Source organism: Homo sapiens, chromosome 9, assembly GCF_000001405.40.
Source record: "Homo sapiens chromosome 9, GRCh38.p14 Primary Assembly".
NCBI lineage: Eukaryota > Metazoa > Chordata > Mammalia > Primates > Hominidae > Homo > Homo sapiens.
This window is the reverse complement of record NC_000009.12, coordinates 189,431-202,047: the sequence shown is the minus strand read 5'-3', so window position 1 is coordinate 202,047 and position 12,617 is coordinate 189,431. Positions and strand designations below refer to the sequence as shown.

The 12,617-nt window shown below is 39.0% G+C and overlaps 1 long non-coding RNA gene across 2 annotated transcripts; it reads left to right on the top strand.

Moving 5' to 3' along the window:
* Positions 1 to 2,897: 2,897 nt before the first annotated feature.
* LOC105375943 (uncharacterized) lies at positions 2,898 to 11,334 on the top strand. 2 transcript variants are annotated; one of them, XR_001746595.2, is made up of 3 exons: positions 2,898 to 3,484; positions 9,695 to 9,812; positions 10,096 to 11,334. It is a non-coding gene; the product is annotated as an uncharacterized LOC105375943 (long non-coding RNA). The 2 variants fall into 2 exon arrangements; XR_001746594.2 differs by lacking the exon at positions 2,898 to 3,484 and adding an exon at positions 3,776 to 3,921.
* Positions 11,335 to 12,617: the final 1,283 nt, after the last annotated feature.

The window sequence follows — 12,617 nt, the reverse complement described above, 5'->3', positions numbered from 1 at the left end:
CACAGAAGTTGGATTTTTTCCAATTTTTAAACAATGTGCAGAGGTAGGCTTTTTCAGGGTAGCAGTTTATTATTTATTTCCATACTTTGTGTTTTATCCCATCCATCTGCTCTTTCAATTTGGCTTAGAGTTATAGAATGTTCGAGCTGGAGAAACCACATTTTCTGAGAAACATTTTATATAAATTCTGATAACAGTTGTATGAACTCCTATTTCTTCAAGAATCATGATAAGTTTTATCACATAGGTCCCAAGAAAAATCTAGGTACAGTAACAACTGGAGATCAGGAATATTTTTCTAAATATTTCTTGCATTGTACTTTTATAATGAGTCTTTTTTCAATTAAAGTGAAAAGCATCAAAGCATGATAGATTTTTTACCTGAGAATAAAATGGTCTTTTCATTTATATTTGAATAAAAATTCAAATTTAAAACTTCACCATAAAATTCAGTAATGTTGACAACTTGTCAGCACCTACTTCATAGATTGATACCCACACTATAATTTAGAATGTGGAAGTTAAAATAGTATCTACACCCTGAATAATAAATAATATGCACTAAAGACTTTTCTTTTATGGAACTCTATTTGGCAAATGCTAAAATATCATTGGAATATTACTTTAGATTAGAAAATATTTTATTAATAATTCAGACACTGTGATATGGTTTGGCTGTGTCCCCCCCAAATCTCATCTTGAATTGTAGTTCCCATAATCCCCACATGTTACCCAGTGGGAGGTAATTGAATCATGGGGGCGGTTAGCCCATGCTGCTATTCTCATGATAGTGAGTGAGTTCTCATGAGATCTGATGGTTTTATCCAGGACTTTTCCGCCTTTTGCTCAGCACCTCTCCTTGCTGCTGCCATGTGAAGAAGGATGTGTTTGCTTCCCGTTCCGCCATGATTGTAAGTTTCCTGAGGCCTCCCCGAACTATGAGTCAATTAAATCTCTTTCGTTTATAAATAGCCGAGCACTGTGAGAATGGACTAATAAATACGAGTGTCTTAATCCATTTTGCATTGTTATAAAGGAATATCTGAGGCTGGGTAATTTAATAAAATAAGACATTTCTTTGACTCACGGTTCTTCAGGCTCTGCAAGAAGCATGGCACCAGCATCTGCTTCTGGTGAGGACCTCATGAAGTTTCCAACCATGGGGGGAGGCCAAGAGAGAGTAGGCATGTCACATGGCAAGGGAGGGAGCAAGAGAGAGGGGAGGAGTGCCATGCTCTTTTAGGCAGCCAGATCCCACAGGAACTAAGAGCGCGAATTCACTCAATCCTAACCTAATGACACCAAGCAACTCATGAGGGATCTGCCCCCCTGACCCAAACACCTCCAACTAGGCCTCACCTCCCACATTAGGGATGAAATTTCAACATGATATTTGGAGGGAACTAATATCCAAACTATGTCATAGAGGTATGTGTGTAACCTCATTCATTTATGCATTCATTCAACAAAATATGTAGTGAGCACCTGCTATGTGCCAGGCACTGTGCTAGGCTGTAGATATGACTCATAAATAAGATGAATATTGCCACAGTCCTTAGGAGCCTAGTGTAGTTGGGGAGTAAATAAGCAAACAGATAATTTCTTTTTTTTTTTTTTTTTTTTTTTTTGAGACGGAGTCTCGCTCTGTCGCCCAGGCCGGACTGCGGACTGCAGTGGCGCAATCTCGGCTCACTGCAAGCTCCGCTTCCCGGGTTCACGCCATTCTCCTGCCTCAGCCTCCCGAGTAGCTGGGACTACAGGCGCCCGCCACCGCGCCCGGCTAATTTTTTGTATTTTTAGTAGAGACGGGGTTTCACCTTGTTAGCCAGGATGGTCTCGATCTCCTGACCTCATGATCCACCCGCCTCGGCCTCCCAAAGTGCTGGGATTACAGGCGTGAGCCACCGCGCCCGGCCCAGATAATTTCTATACCTGGTAATTACTACTTTGATAGGGCAAAGAGGATTCTGTTTGTGCTGTAAAAGCACATGAAAAGTACAAAGTCAATCCTTGGGAGGTCATGGAATCTTTCCTAGGAAATGATATATAAGGTGGATAAAAAGGTAACCAGATACAGATGAGAAGAGAAGGTGGGCCAGAAATTTTGAAATACTGAACCAACTGGATGTCATTCACTGACATAGGGTAAATAGTATAGATGACTGGATTGGAAAAGGAAAAAGGAACTAAAAGTAATTAAATGAGCTGCAGACGTGAAAATGAACACTTGGGAAGTCCTGGCAGGAAGTCAGCAATAAGACAACATAATGAAGTGGAAAGTGGTTGGGAGTAAGGCTGACTTGGATTCAAACCCTGGTTTCACCACTTAATAGATGTGTTAAGTTGAACAAATCCTTTAACTTTTCAGAGCCTCAATTTTCCTCTTTGTAAAATACAGATAATAACATGGACACTATAAGGGTTTTGTTGTTGTTGTTGTTGTTTTGAGACGGAGTCTTGCTCTGTTGCCCAGGCTGGAGTGCAGTGCCTCGATCTTGGCTCACTGCAACCTCTGCCTCCTGGGTTCAAGCGATTCTCCTGCCTCAGCTTTCAGAGTAGCTGGGACTACAGGCGCGCGCCACCATGCCTGGCTAATTTTTGCATTTTTTGTAGAGACGGGGTTTTACCATATTGGCCAGGCTGGTCTCGAACTCCTGATCTCAGATGATCCGCCTGCCTTGGCCTCCCAAAGTGCTGGGATTACAGGCGTGAGCCACCGCACCTGGCCCAGACACTGTAAGTTTTGGGGAGGATTAAATGGGATCATCCATGTAAATGCGCCTATCCCAGTCTCTAGCACACACTGAACACTCAAAAATGGGAGGTTTTCGTATTTCAGAAGAAAATCAGGTGTCGGGGAGTGTTAGTAGTAACCTTGAACTATATGCAGAGACTAAAGCTAGGAAGATAGGAAGAGTTTTACAAGATCCTTTTGGCTATATAGTTAAAGTTATTAGCAGTTAGAGTTTCCCTTACAGTTGACAAGTGAACCATAAAAGTGAATGACTTGTGGTTCCTCAGATAAAAGCACGAGTCAGAGTTGTAATTTCTGTTTTGTGGACGTAATTGTTGACCAAGTGCACTGAAGGTAGGGATGGCCAGTAGCAAAATTATAAAGCAGGCCTGTTTGTCTTCAAACACTCCTGAGTAAACTTGTCATTTCCTTGTAAAAATGCAAAATAGACTACTGAGTAGAGGTGATCAATTATAGAAATGCACTTACTTTGGCTTTCTTCTGAAACCTAATAAAATGACAGTAAAGGGATTATTTTTTTAAGGCAGAAACCCACAATGATGATGAAATTAGAAAGGAAGACAAGAACAACAAGGTTGTGGAATTCAGAAGCCATAGAGACAAGAGGTAACACACCTGAGAAAGATGATCCCTAAGTTTGTCTTGGAGAAAACTCAGAAGTACCTGACTACATCGTAGACCTCCCAAACAGCTTCCAAATGTCAGATACCACTGAACATGGGGATAAAGGTAGGGTCAAAAATAGGAGGATTGGGTTATAAGTCTGTATAAGAAGTTGTTAGATCCCTACATCCTCTCTTCAAACCTGTATAGCCAGATAATGGTCCCTCTCCCAGCCTGGCAGAGGCTGGATAAGGTAAATAGAGAAAGTTACCTCCTGGAGAACATTTGGCACATTTGGGGATGGAGTTCAGTAATATAAATGAAGAGGTAGTGAAAATTTATGGGAACATTTATAACCTAACAGAACCCCATGTCTTCTACCCCATTCTAATTCCAGACCACTAGAGATCAGAAAATTATTCTCTGGGGTATCTGACCACTTCCAGAGGAAAGACATAAAGATGCTGATGTCAAGAATGACCCAACTAAACGGCCCAGCCACATGACCCAGTTGAAGCTGGTGGACAAGAAGTTTCATTCATGGAATCAGAACTTCCAATAAGGTCTTTTAGTACCTCACTCCTAAATTTGAATAGACTACCAAAGATTATCAGACATCTAAGGAGAACTACCAGCATGAAAGGTAGAGACCAAAGCAAACAAACAAACAAAGAAAATAATTTGGAACTAACCAAGACTATGCTGGGAGAAGAAAACTATTATTAATATCCACAGAGCGTAGTACAGCCACTATGGAGAACAGTATGGAGGTTCCTCTAAAGACTAAAAATAGAACCATCATAATTCAACAATCCCACTGCTAGATATATACCCCAAAGAAAGGAAATCAGTATATTGAAAAGATATCTGCACTCTCATGTTTACTGTAGCACTATTCATAATAGCCAAGATTTGGAAGCAACTTAAGTGTCCATCAACAGATGAACAGATTTTTTTTAAATGTGGTACATATACACAATGGAGTACTATTCAGCCATAAAAAAGAATGAGAAATGTCATTTGCAACAACATGGTTGGAACTGGAGGACCTTATGTTAAGTGAAATAAGCCAGGCCCAAAAAAGCAAATTTCACATGTTCTCACTCATTTGTGGGACCTAAAAATGAAAACAGTTGAACTCAGGGAGATAGAGTAAGATGATGGTTACCAGAGGCTGGAAGGGTAGTTGTGGTGGGAGGTGGGTGGTTAATGAGTACAAAAATATAATTAGATAGAATGAATAAATCTAATAGTTGCTAGCACAACAGGGTGACTACAGTCAACAATAATTTACCGTACATTTAAAATAACTAAAAGAGTATAATTGGCATGTTAGTTACACAAAAAAAGGATAAATGCTTGAGGCAACGGATATACCATTTACCTGGATTTGGTTATCACACATTGTATACTTGCATTAAAATACCTGCCGGGCACGTGGCTCATGCCTGTAATCCCAGCACTTTGGGAGGCTGAGGCGGGCAGATCACCTGAGGTCGGGAGTTTGAGACCAGCCTGACTAACATGGAGAAACCCCATCTCTACTAAAAATACAAAGTTAGCTGGGAATGGTGGCTCATGCCTGTAATCCAAGCTACTCGGGAGGCTGAGGCAGGAGAATCACTTGAACCTGGGAGGCGGAGGTTGCAGTGAGCAGAGACCGCACCATTGCACTCCAGCCTGGGCAACAAGAGCAAAACTCCGTCTCAAAAAAAAAAAAAAAAAATCTTATGTTCCCCATAAATATAAATACCTATTATGTACCAATAAAAGTAAAAAGTAAAAAGTTTCAATTGATTCACAACTTTAAAAAATATCCACAGAGGCGTAAGAGGAGATATTGTATTGCACCCACAAACCAGTCTTATGCTGTTTCAGAAAGGGACATTCAAGAAACAAAAAGGGAGCTCTGGGAAATTTGAACAATAAATAATAGTAGAATAAAAAATTCAGAGAAAGTTTGGATGATAAATTGGAGCCAATCTCCCAGTAAGCAGAGCAAAAATATAGAAAATGAGAGTTAGAAAAGAAAAAGAAAAAAATTAAAGGACTAAAATAAGAAGTCCAACATCTAAATAAGAGGCGATCCACAGAGAGCAACAGAGATAAGAGAAGAAAGGAAATAATCAATAAAATAATTCCAGAAAATCCAAGGACATGAGTTCTCAGATTGTAACAGACTACTCGAGTGAAAAAAAAAAAAAAAAAAAGAATGGAGTTAGACCCATCCCAAGTCACATTATTTGTGCGATTTTAAAATACCGATATATTAGTTTGCTAGAGCTGCAGTAACAAAACACCACAGACTGGGTGGCTTGAACAGCAGAAATTTGTTTTCTCATGGTTCTTGATGCTAGAAGTCTAAGATCGAGGCGACAGCAGTTTCGTTTTTTCCTGACGCTTCTCTCCTTAGCTCACAGATGGCTGTCTTCTAGTTGTGTCCTCATACTGTCTTCCCTTGGTCACTGTTGTCTGTGTCCTCGTCTCCTCTTCTTAAAAGGACACCAGTCATATTAGGTTAAGAATTGCCCATTAGACCTCATTTTACCTTAATTACCTCTTTAAAGGCCCCACGTCTAAATACAGTCATATTCTAAACTACTGGGGGTTAGGGCTTCACTGAGTGAATTTTGGTGGAAAGTGGGGCGGGGGACACAATTCAGCCTACAAAAACTGGAAACAAAGTGAAAATCCTATGTGTTTCCGTGCTCAGAAGACAGGAAGTAGTCATACCCAAGAGTCAATAATTAAACTGGTTTCTCACCAGCAATTTGGAGACTGGAAGTTGGAAGACACAGAGCAGTGCCTACCACATTCAAAAGAGAAAAGAGGCCGGGCATGGTGGCTCACGCCTGTAATCCCAGCACTTTAGGAGGCGAGGAGGATGGATCACCAGGTCAGGTGTTCAAGACCAGCCTGACCAACATGGTGAAACGCTGTCTCTACTAAAAATACAAAAATTAGCTGGGCATGGTGGAACACGCCTGTAATCCCAGCACTTTGGGAGGCCACAGAGGGCAGATCACCAGGTCAGGAGTTTGAGACCAGCCTGACCAACAAGGTGAAACCCCATCTCTACTAAAAATACAAAAATTAGCCAGACGTGGTGGCGCATGCCTGTAATCCCAGCTACTCAGAAGGCTGAGACAGAAGAATCACTTGAACCCAGGAGGTGGAGGTTGCAGTGACCCGAGATCGTGCCACTGCACTCCATCCTGGGTGACAGAATGAGACTCCGTCTCAAAAAAAAAAAAAAAAAAAAAAAGAGAGAGAGAAAAGAATTCCAACCCAGAATTCTCAACTTCACTGTGTCAGAGGATATGAAGTAAACAAATATTCATCTCTACATTTGCCAGTCCCTGTGGACTTAGACCAGATAGTATAAATAATAGTCACAAAAGGAGTATGAATGGGATAAGAAGCCACTTCTAGTCTGAGACAATTAAGAGTAGTAGTGCCTTCTCTGCACTCTCACCCCCTCATTCTGACAGCTGAAGTGAAGGACTCCCAACTTCTGGAACTGCCCAATGAAAGTAGCCTTGTGTGAGTGTTAGCTGGCCTGCTTTGGTCTGGGATGCAAGTAGAAATAAACTCCTCTCATATTAAGCCACTAAGACTTTAGGGATATGTTGCTGTAGCATAGCCTAATATAGCCTGATTACTGAACGAGCCACCCCATCAACTGAATCTATGTATATACTAAAAACATTTTAAGATATGCAAGGTCTCAAAGAGTTCACTCGATGCACGCTTTTTCTCAGGAAGCTACTAGAGGATGTGCTCTACAAAAAATAAAGGTATAAATTATGAAAGAGGAAAACATAGGATTTAGGAATCAAGGGAATTCAGCACAAGACAGAAGAAAAGGGAATCTGCAGCAAGATCCCTGAGCTGTGCATGTAACATAAAGGGCAACAATTTCCAACACAGAGCAGATCACAAGACCCGAGGATAGATTTCTTGAAGAAAATGAAATTAAAAGAATACTGGATTCATCTGAACATACGAAAAGGAGATTTAAGCAACTTTTTAAGAGCTTGGGAATGAATTAATGATAAATATATGGTATTATGCAACCAAAACTACAATAAAAACTCATTAAAAATTATAACTCATAAAATTATTAATTTCAGGGAAAATAAAAAGTTGAGTAGGAATGAAAAAAGAATCAGAGGATACTATAAAGCTCATCTGTGGATATTGTTTACGTAGTCATAATAATGAAAAAGAAATAATCTAACCAAAATTAAACGTTGGAAGTGTGGGGAGATAGAAATGGTAGAGTGTATTCGGTATTTATGTGTTGGGGAGGATACCTGTAAGTTTAACATTAGTGAGCTTTACTTTACTAAGGCTAAATAAACAAACTCAAGTGTCCAGAAAGGCTAGAGAAGGAGCTTACAAGAATGAAGCTATTGTGGTGTGATTCAATGGGGAATAGGTGAGGCATTGGCAACATCAATTTGTAGTATCCCTGCCAATTGATACTACAACATCAATTTGTAGTATCCCTGCCAAAATTTAACTATGGAAAATAGTTAAATTTTAATATGCACACATCTGTGGTTGTGGTTATACAGATATATATATATATAAAATAAAAATTTATATATAAATAAATACATAAACAAACTCAAGTGTCCAACAGGGCTAGATAAGGAGCTTACAAGAATGAAGCAGCTGTGATGTGATTCAATAGGGAATAGGTGGGGCCTTGGCAAACCAAAGAACATATTCTGTCTAAAGTGGATGGCCACAACTTGCTCCAGCTGTGGAAACTTGGGCCATGTACTGCTAGATCTAAGGATTTTCTTTTGAGAGATGCTAGATATATACGTTTTTTAAAAATAAAATTATCCTGATTTTAACAACATTGTGTTATTATATAAAACATACCTTGGAGGGTGTGGGTAAGACACAATGTCCTTGAAATTATATTTCACTGGGTTAATGAAATTGGCTCCGGAAGAAACTAATTTTAAACAGCAAACCAAAGAGTGAAGGCCTTCAAAACTAACAAACCAAAGGAAAACAAAACAAAATGACAACAAGAAAAAAACAAAGAAACAAAACCCCTGGACCTTACCATTTTTCTAAGGCATGTTGACATGATAAAATCAAAATTGCTTTGTGCATATAAGGATCAAAGGTTATGCTTTTGACTTTATAAATTCAGAGAAAGAATTTAATTGGAATTATTTTTATGAATTAACTGAAGATCTAAGGCAACTGGATAATTTAGGTTCTGCTACTATCTAGAATGTTCAAAGTTTATGTTTAGTCTGACACTAAAGAATCCATTATTTCTCTTGACTTCCAGGCTGGTCAGTGTCTTTCCTGTGTCATATACCAAACAATGTGTTAGAAATTGTCTTCTCACTCATAAACTAATATGTGTTCAGAGTAAAAAGGCAAGCAAGTAAATAATGAGAGAAAATTCAGTGTATTGTATAAACAAAGACAGAAGGCAGACCAATGGTTACCTGGGGCCAAAGCTAAAGAGATTAATTGTACACAGACACAAAGGAATTTTTTGGGATGGTGAAAGTGTTCTAAGACTGGATTGGGATGATTGTGGCACTACTGTATAAATGTTATTAAAACTCATTGAGTTGTACACTTAAATGAGTGGCTAAGTTGTGCCTTAATAAAGCTGTAATTTTGAAAAAGAATAATGGGTGATCAACTGTGAGCTAGAGTATGATGAAAACACAAGACATTTACATAGTTTCAAAGTATCTCCCCATCAGGTACTTATTAACTGCATCAGGGAAACAGTAATTTTATTGTGGCAGAACCCTGCTGACAAAGTTAACATTCTAGTAAAAGCACAGGTGGACGTCTTGTGCCTCCTGAAGTGATGCACAGAGAAGGATGCAACATCAACTTGTAGTATCCCTGCCAAAAATATATAACCTGAATTTAACCATGCTGAAACATAAGACAAATCCAAGCGAAGGAACATTCTACAAAACAACTGACCAGTACTCCTCAAGAGTGTCAAGGTCCTGGAAGACAAAGACTGAGCAATGCTTCTGATTAAAGTAGACTGAGAGGTGACAACTGAATGCAATGTGGGATTCTGGATTAGGTCTTGGCCCAGAAACAGGTCTTCGGTGGGACAACTGGCAAAATGTGAATAAGGTCTCTGGTTTTGTGAATGGTAGCGTATCGATGCTCATTACCTGCTTTTGATCATGGTAGTGATAGTAAGATATTAACATTCAGGAAAACACAGTGAAGGGTATATGTGAATCTCTACTATTTTTGTAACTTTTGTAAGTTGAAATTGTTTCAAAATGAGTTAGAAGATTAAAAGGAAGTTTTCTCTTTCAGCTGGGAAAACGGCAATGGATTAATAACAAGAAATTAATGGTGAAGTGGTGACTAAAATTCTACATTGCTTAGAAAGCAAGTAAGAAAATCAGTGGTTGTAGAGAAGTTCTTCCATGAGGTAATAAAAATAAAAACTGTGATGTTAAGCATTTTCTATTTTCTTTTCCTCCCCTCCAAATGAAACAGCATACTATTCTGCATGTTTTTCTACCTAACGATGTATCATTTTAACGACTCTTGTATTTTAAACCTAAAATTTTGATTAAGCTTCACTTAATATTAAAAAAGATAGTATAGGTCACGATGTTATTTGATGCAAACGTTGGAAAGACAGAATCTTCTTGATCCAAGAGCTTCTAGAATTCAAAGTCTGATTCTGGTTATTTCTCTGCTCATTTAAGATAGTGAAATGAACATTTACATTCTGGCAACCTCAGAAGTACAACGAACAGAGGACACCCGCCAGGTAGGGCAAAGGCCTGTGCACCCCCTTTTGCTGTTACATGTTTACCAGGTGCGTGCTCTGTTTCTGTTGTATTACATTACTTTTCTCTTCAATGTCTACTGAGGAAGAACAAGTAGCTCCTCAGGCAAGTCAACTGTTAACTCTGCAGTTTTTATTTAATCTCCCAGGAATGTAACCTTTAACTTTAAAGAATGTAGTGACCATAAAACTTATAAAGCATGTTTCTTAAGGAAATTGTACCTGTTTATTTAATCTATCAGATATGAATGTTATAGAAAATTAAATTTGTCCACTTAAGCTATAGATGAACTTTTCACCTTTCTGATCAGAAATTCACCATCTTATAGTATAGGTTCTGTTATTAATCAGAATATTTCATTTAGACTCTTTCTATCCAACTTTTTCTTAGAGGCTATTCAAAATAAAGGTGCTTCTAACAGTTTCATATCGAAATACGATGCAAAGCCTTGCTCTTCCATGGTATCCTTTGAGTGAGCCAAACTTATTTGGTCATTCCCCTATAGTTAAATAGCTAGGATGTTTCCAACATCTCACCTTTAAAACAATAGTGCTATGAATGTCATAAATGTTTGTATATGTAAATATGTAGGATAAATGCCTATCAGTAGAATTTCAAAAGGTATACGCAATCAGTATTTTCATACATATTTAAAATTTTCCATCCATACAAAGGTTGCTAACATATTTATTTAAAATTTTAAAAATAATTTTATATGCCTCTTGTAACCAGTAATAGGATGCAAAGTTTTTTTTTAAGGTAACATTGCTCCTCTTCCCCCACTGTCTCTGTCATCTATAGTACTCCCTGAGGTAGTTCATGTTATTGCAAGGGTGTGTATCATCCCAAACATATTGCTTCCACATACATATATCAGCATACATATATATATATGTATAGCATGTATATATGAGCACATATTAATATATGCCCATGCACATACAAGCATGTTTTTGTTAATTTTTACTGAAATGGAATCATGCTACATACTTATGAACAAATTGCTTCTTTCACCTTATATCACTTATAATTGTTATTCTACAAATCAGTACATATAAAAAATACATATTTACTTATGTAATACTCTATCTTTCTGTTATAATTTTCTGCATGCACATGTATGCATATACATATATTCATAAACATAAAAATCTAAACGGGATTTTTTTTGGGGGGGTGATATGGTTTGGCTGTGTCCCCACCCAAATCTCATCTTGAATTCCCATGTGTTGTGGGGGGACCCGGTGGGAGGTAATTGAATTATGGGGGCAGGTCTTTCCTGTGCTGTTCTCGGGATAGTGAAAAAGTCTCACGAGATCTGATGGTTTTAAAAAGATGAGTTTCCCTGCATAAGCTCTCTTCTCCTGTCTGGTTCCATGTGAGATGTGCCTTTTGCCTTCCGCCATGATTGTGAGGCCTCCCCAGCCATGTGGAACTGTAAGTCCAATAAACCCCTTTCTTTTGCAAATTGCTCAGTCTCAGGTATGTCTTTATCAGCAGCATAAAAATGAAACAATACAGTAAATTGGTACAAGTAGAGTGGGGCGCTGCTGAAATGATACCTGAAAATGTGGAAGAAACTTTGGAACTGGGCAACAAGCAGAGGTTGGAACAGTTTTGAGGGCTCAGAAGACAGGAATATGTGGGAAAGTTTGGAGCTTCCTAGAGACCTGTTGAATGACTTTGCCCAAAATGCTGACAGTGATATAGACAATAAAGTCCAGGCTGAGGTGGTCTTAGATGGAAACAAGAAACTTGTTGGGAACTGGAGCAATGGTGACTCTTCTTATGTTTTAGTAAAGATACTAGGGGCATTTTGCCCCTGCCATAGATATATGTGGAACTTTTAACTTGAGAGAGATGATTTAGGGTACCTGGCAGAAGAAATTTCTAAGCAGCAAAGCATTCAAGAGGTGACTTGGGTGCTGTTAAAGGTATTCAGTTTTATAAGGGAAGCAGAGCACAAAAGTTTGGAAAATTTGCAGCCTGACAATGTGCTAGAAAAGAAAATCCCATTTTCTGAGGAGAAATTCAAGCTGGCTGCAGAAATTTGCATAAGTAACAAGGAGCTGAATGTTAATCCCCAAGACAATGGGGAAAGTGTCTCCAGGGCATGTCAGAGTTCTTCATGGCAACCCTCCCATCACAGGCCCAGAGGTTTAGGAGGAAAAAGTGGTTTCGTGGGCTGGGCCCAGGGTCCCTCTGCTGTATGCAGTCTAGGGACTTCATACCCTGCATCCCAGCCATGAATGAAAGGGGCCAAAGTACAGCTCTGTCTGTTGCTTCAGAGGGTGCAAGCCCCAAGCCTTGGCAGCTTCCACATGGCTTTGAGCCTGTGGGTGCACAGAAGTCAAGAATTGAGGTTTGGGAAACTCCGCCTAGATATCAGAAGATGTAGAAGTTTGCGGTAGGGGTGGGTCCCTCATGGAGAACCTCTG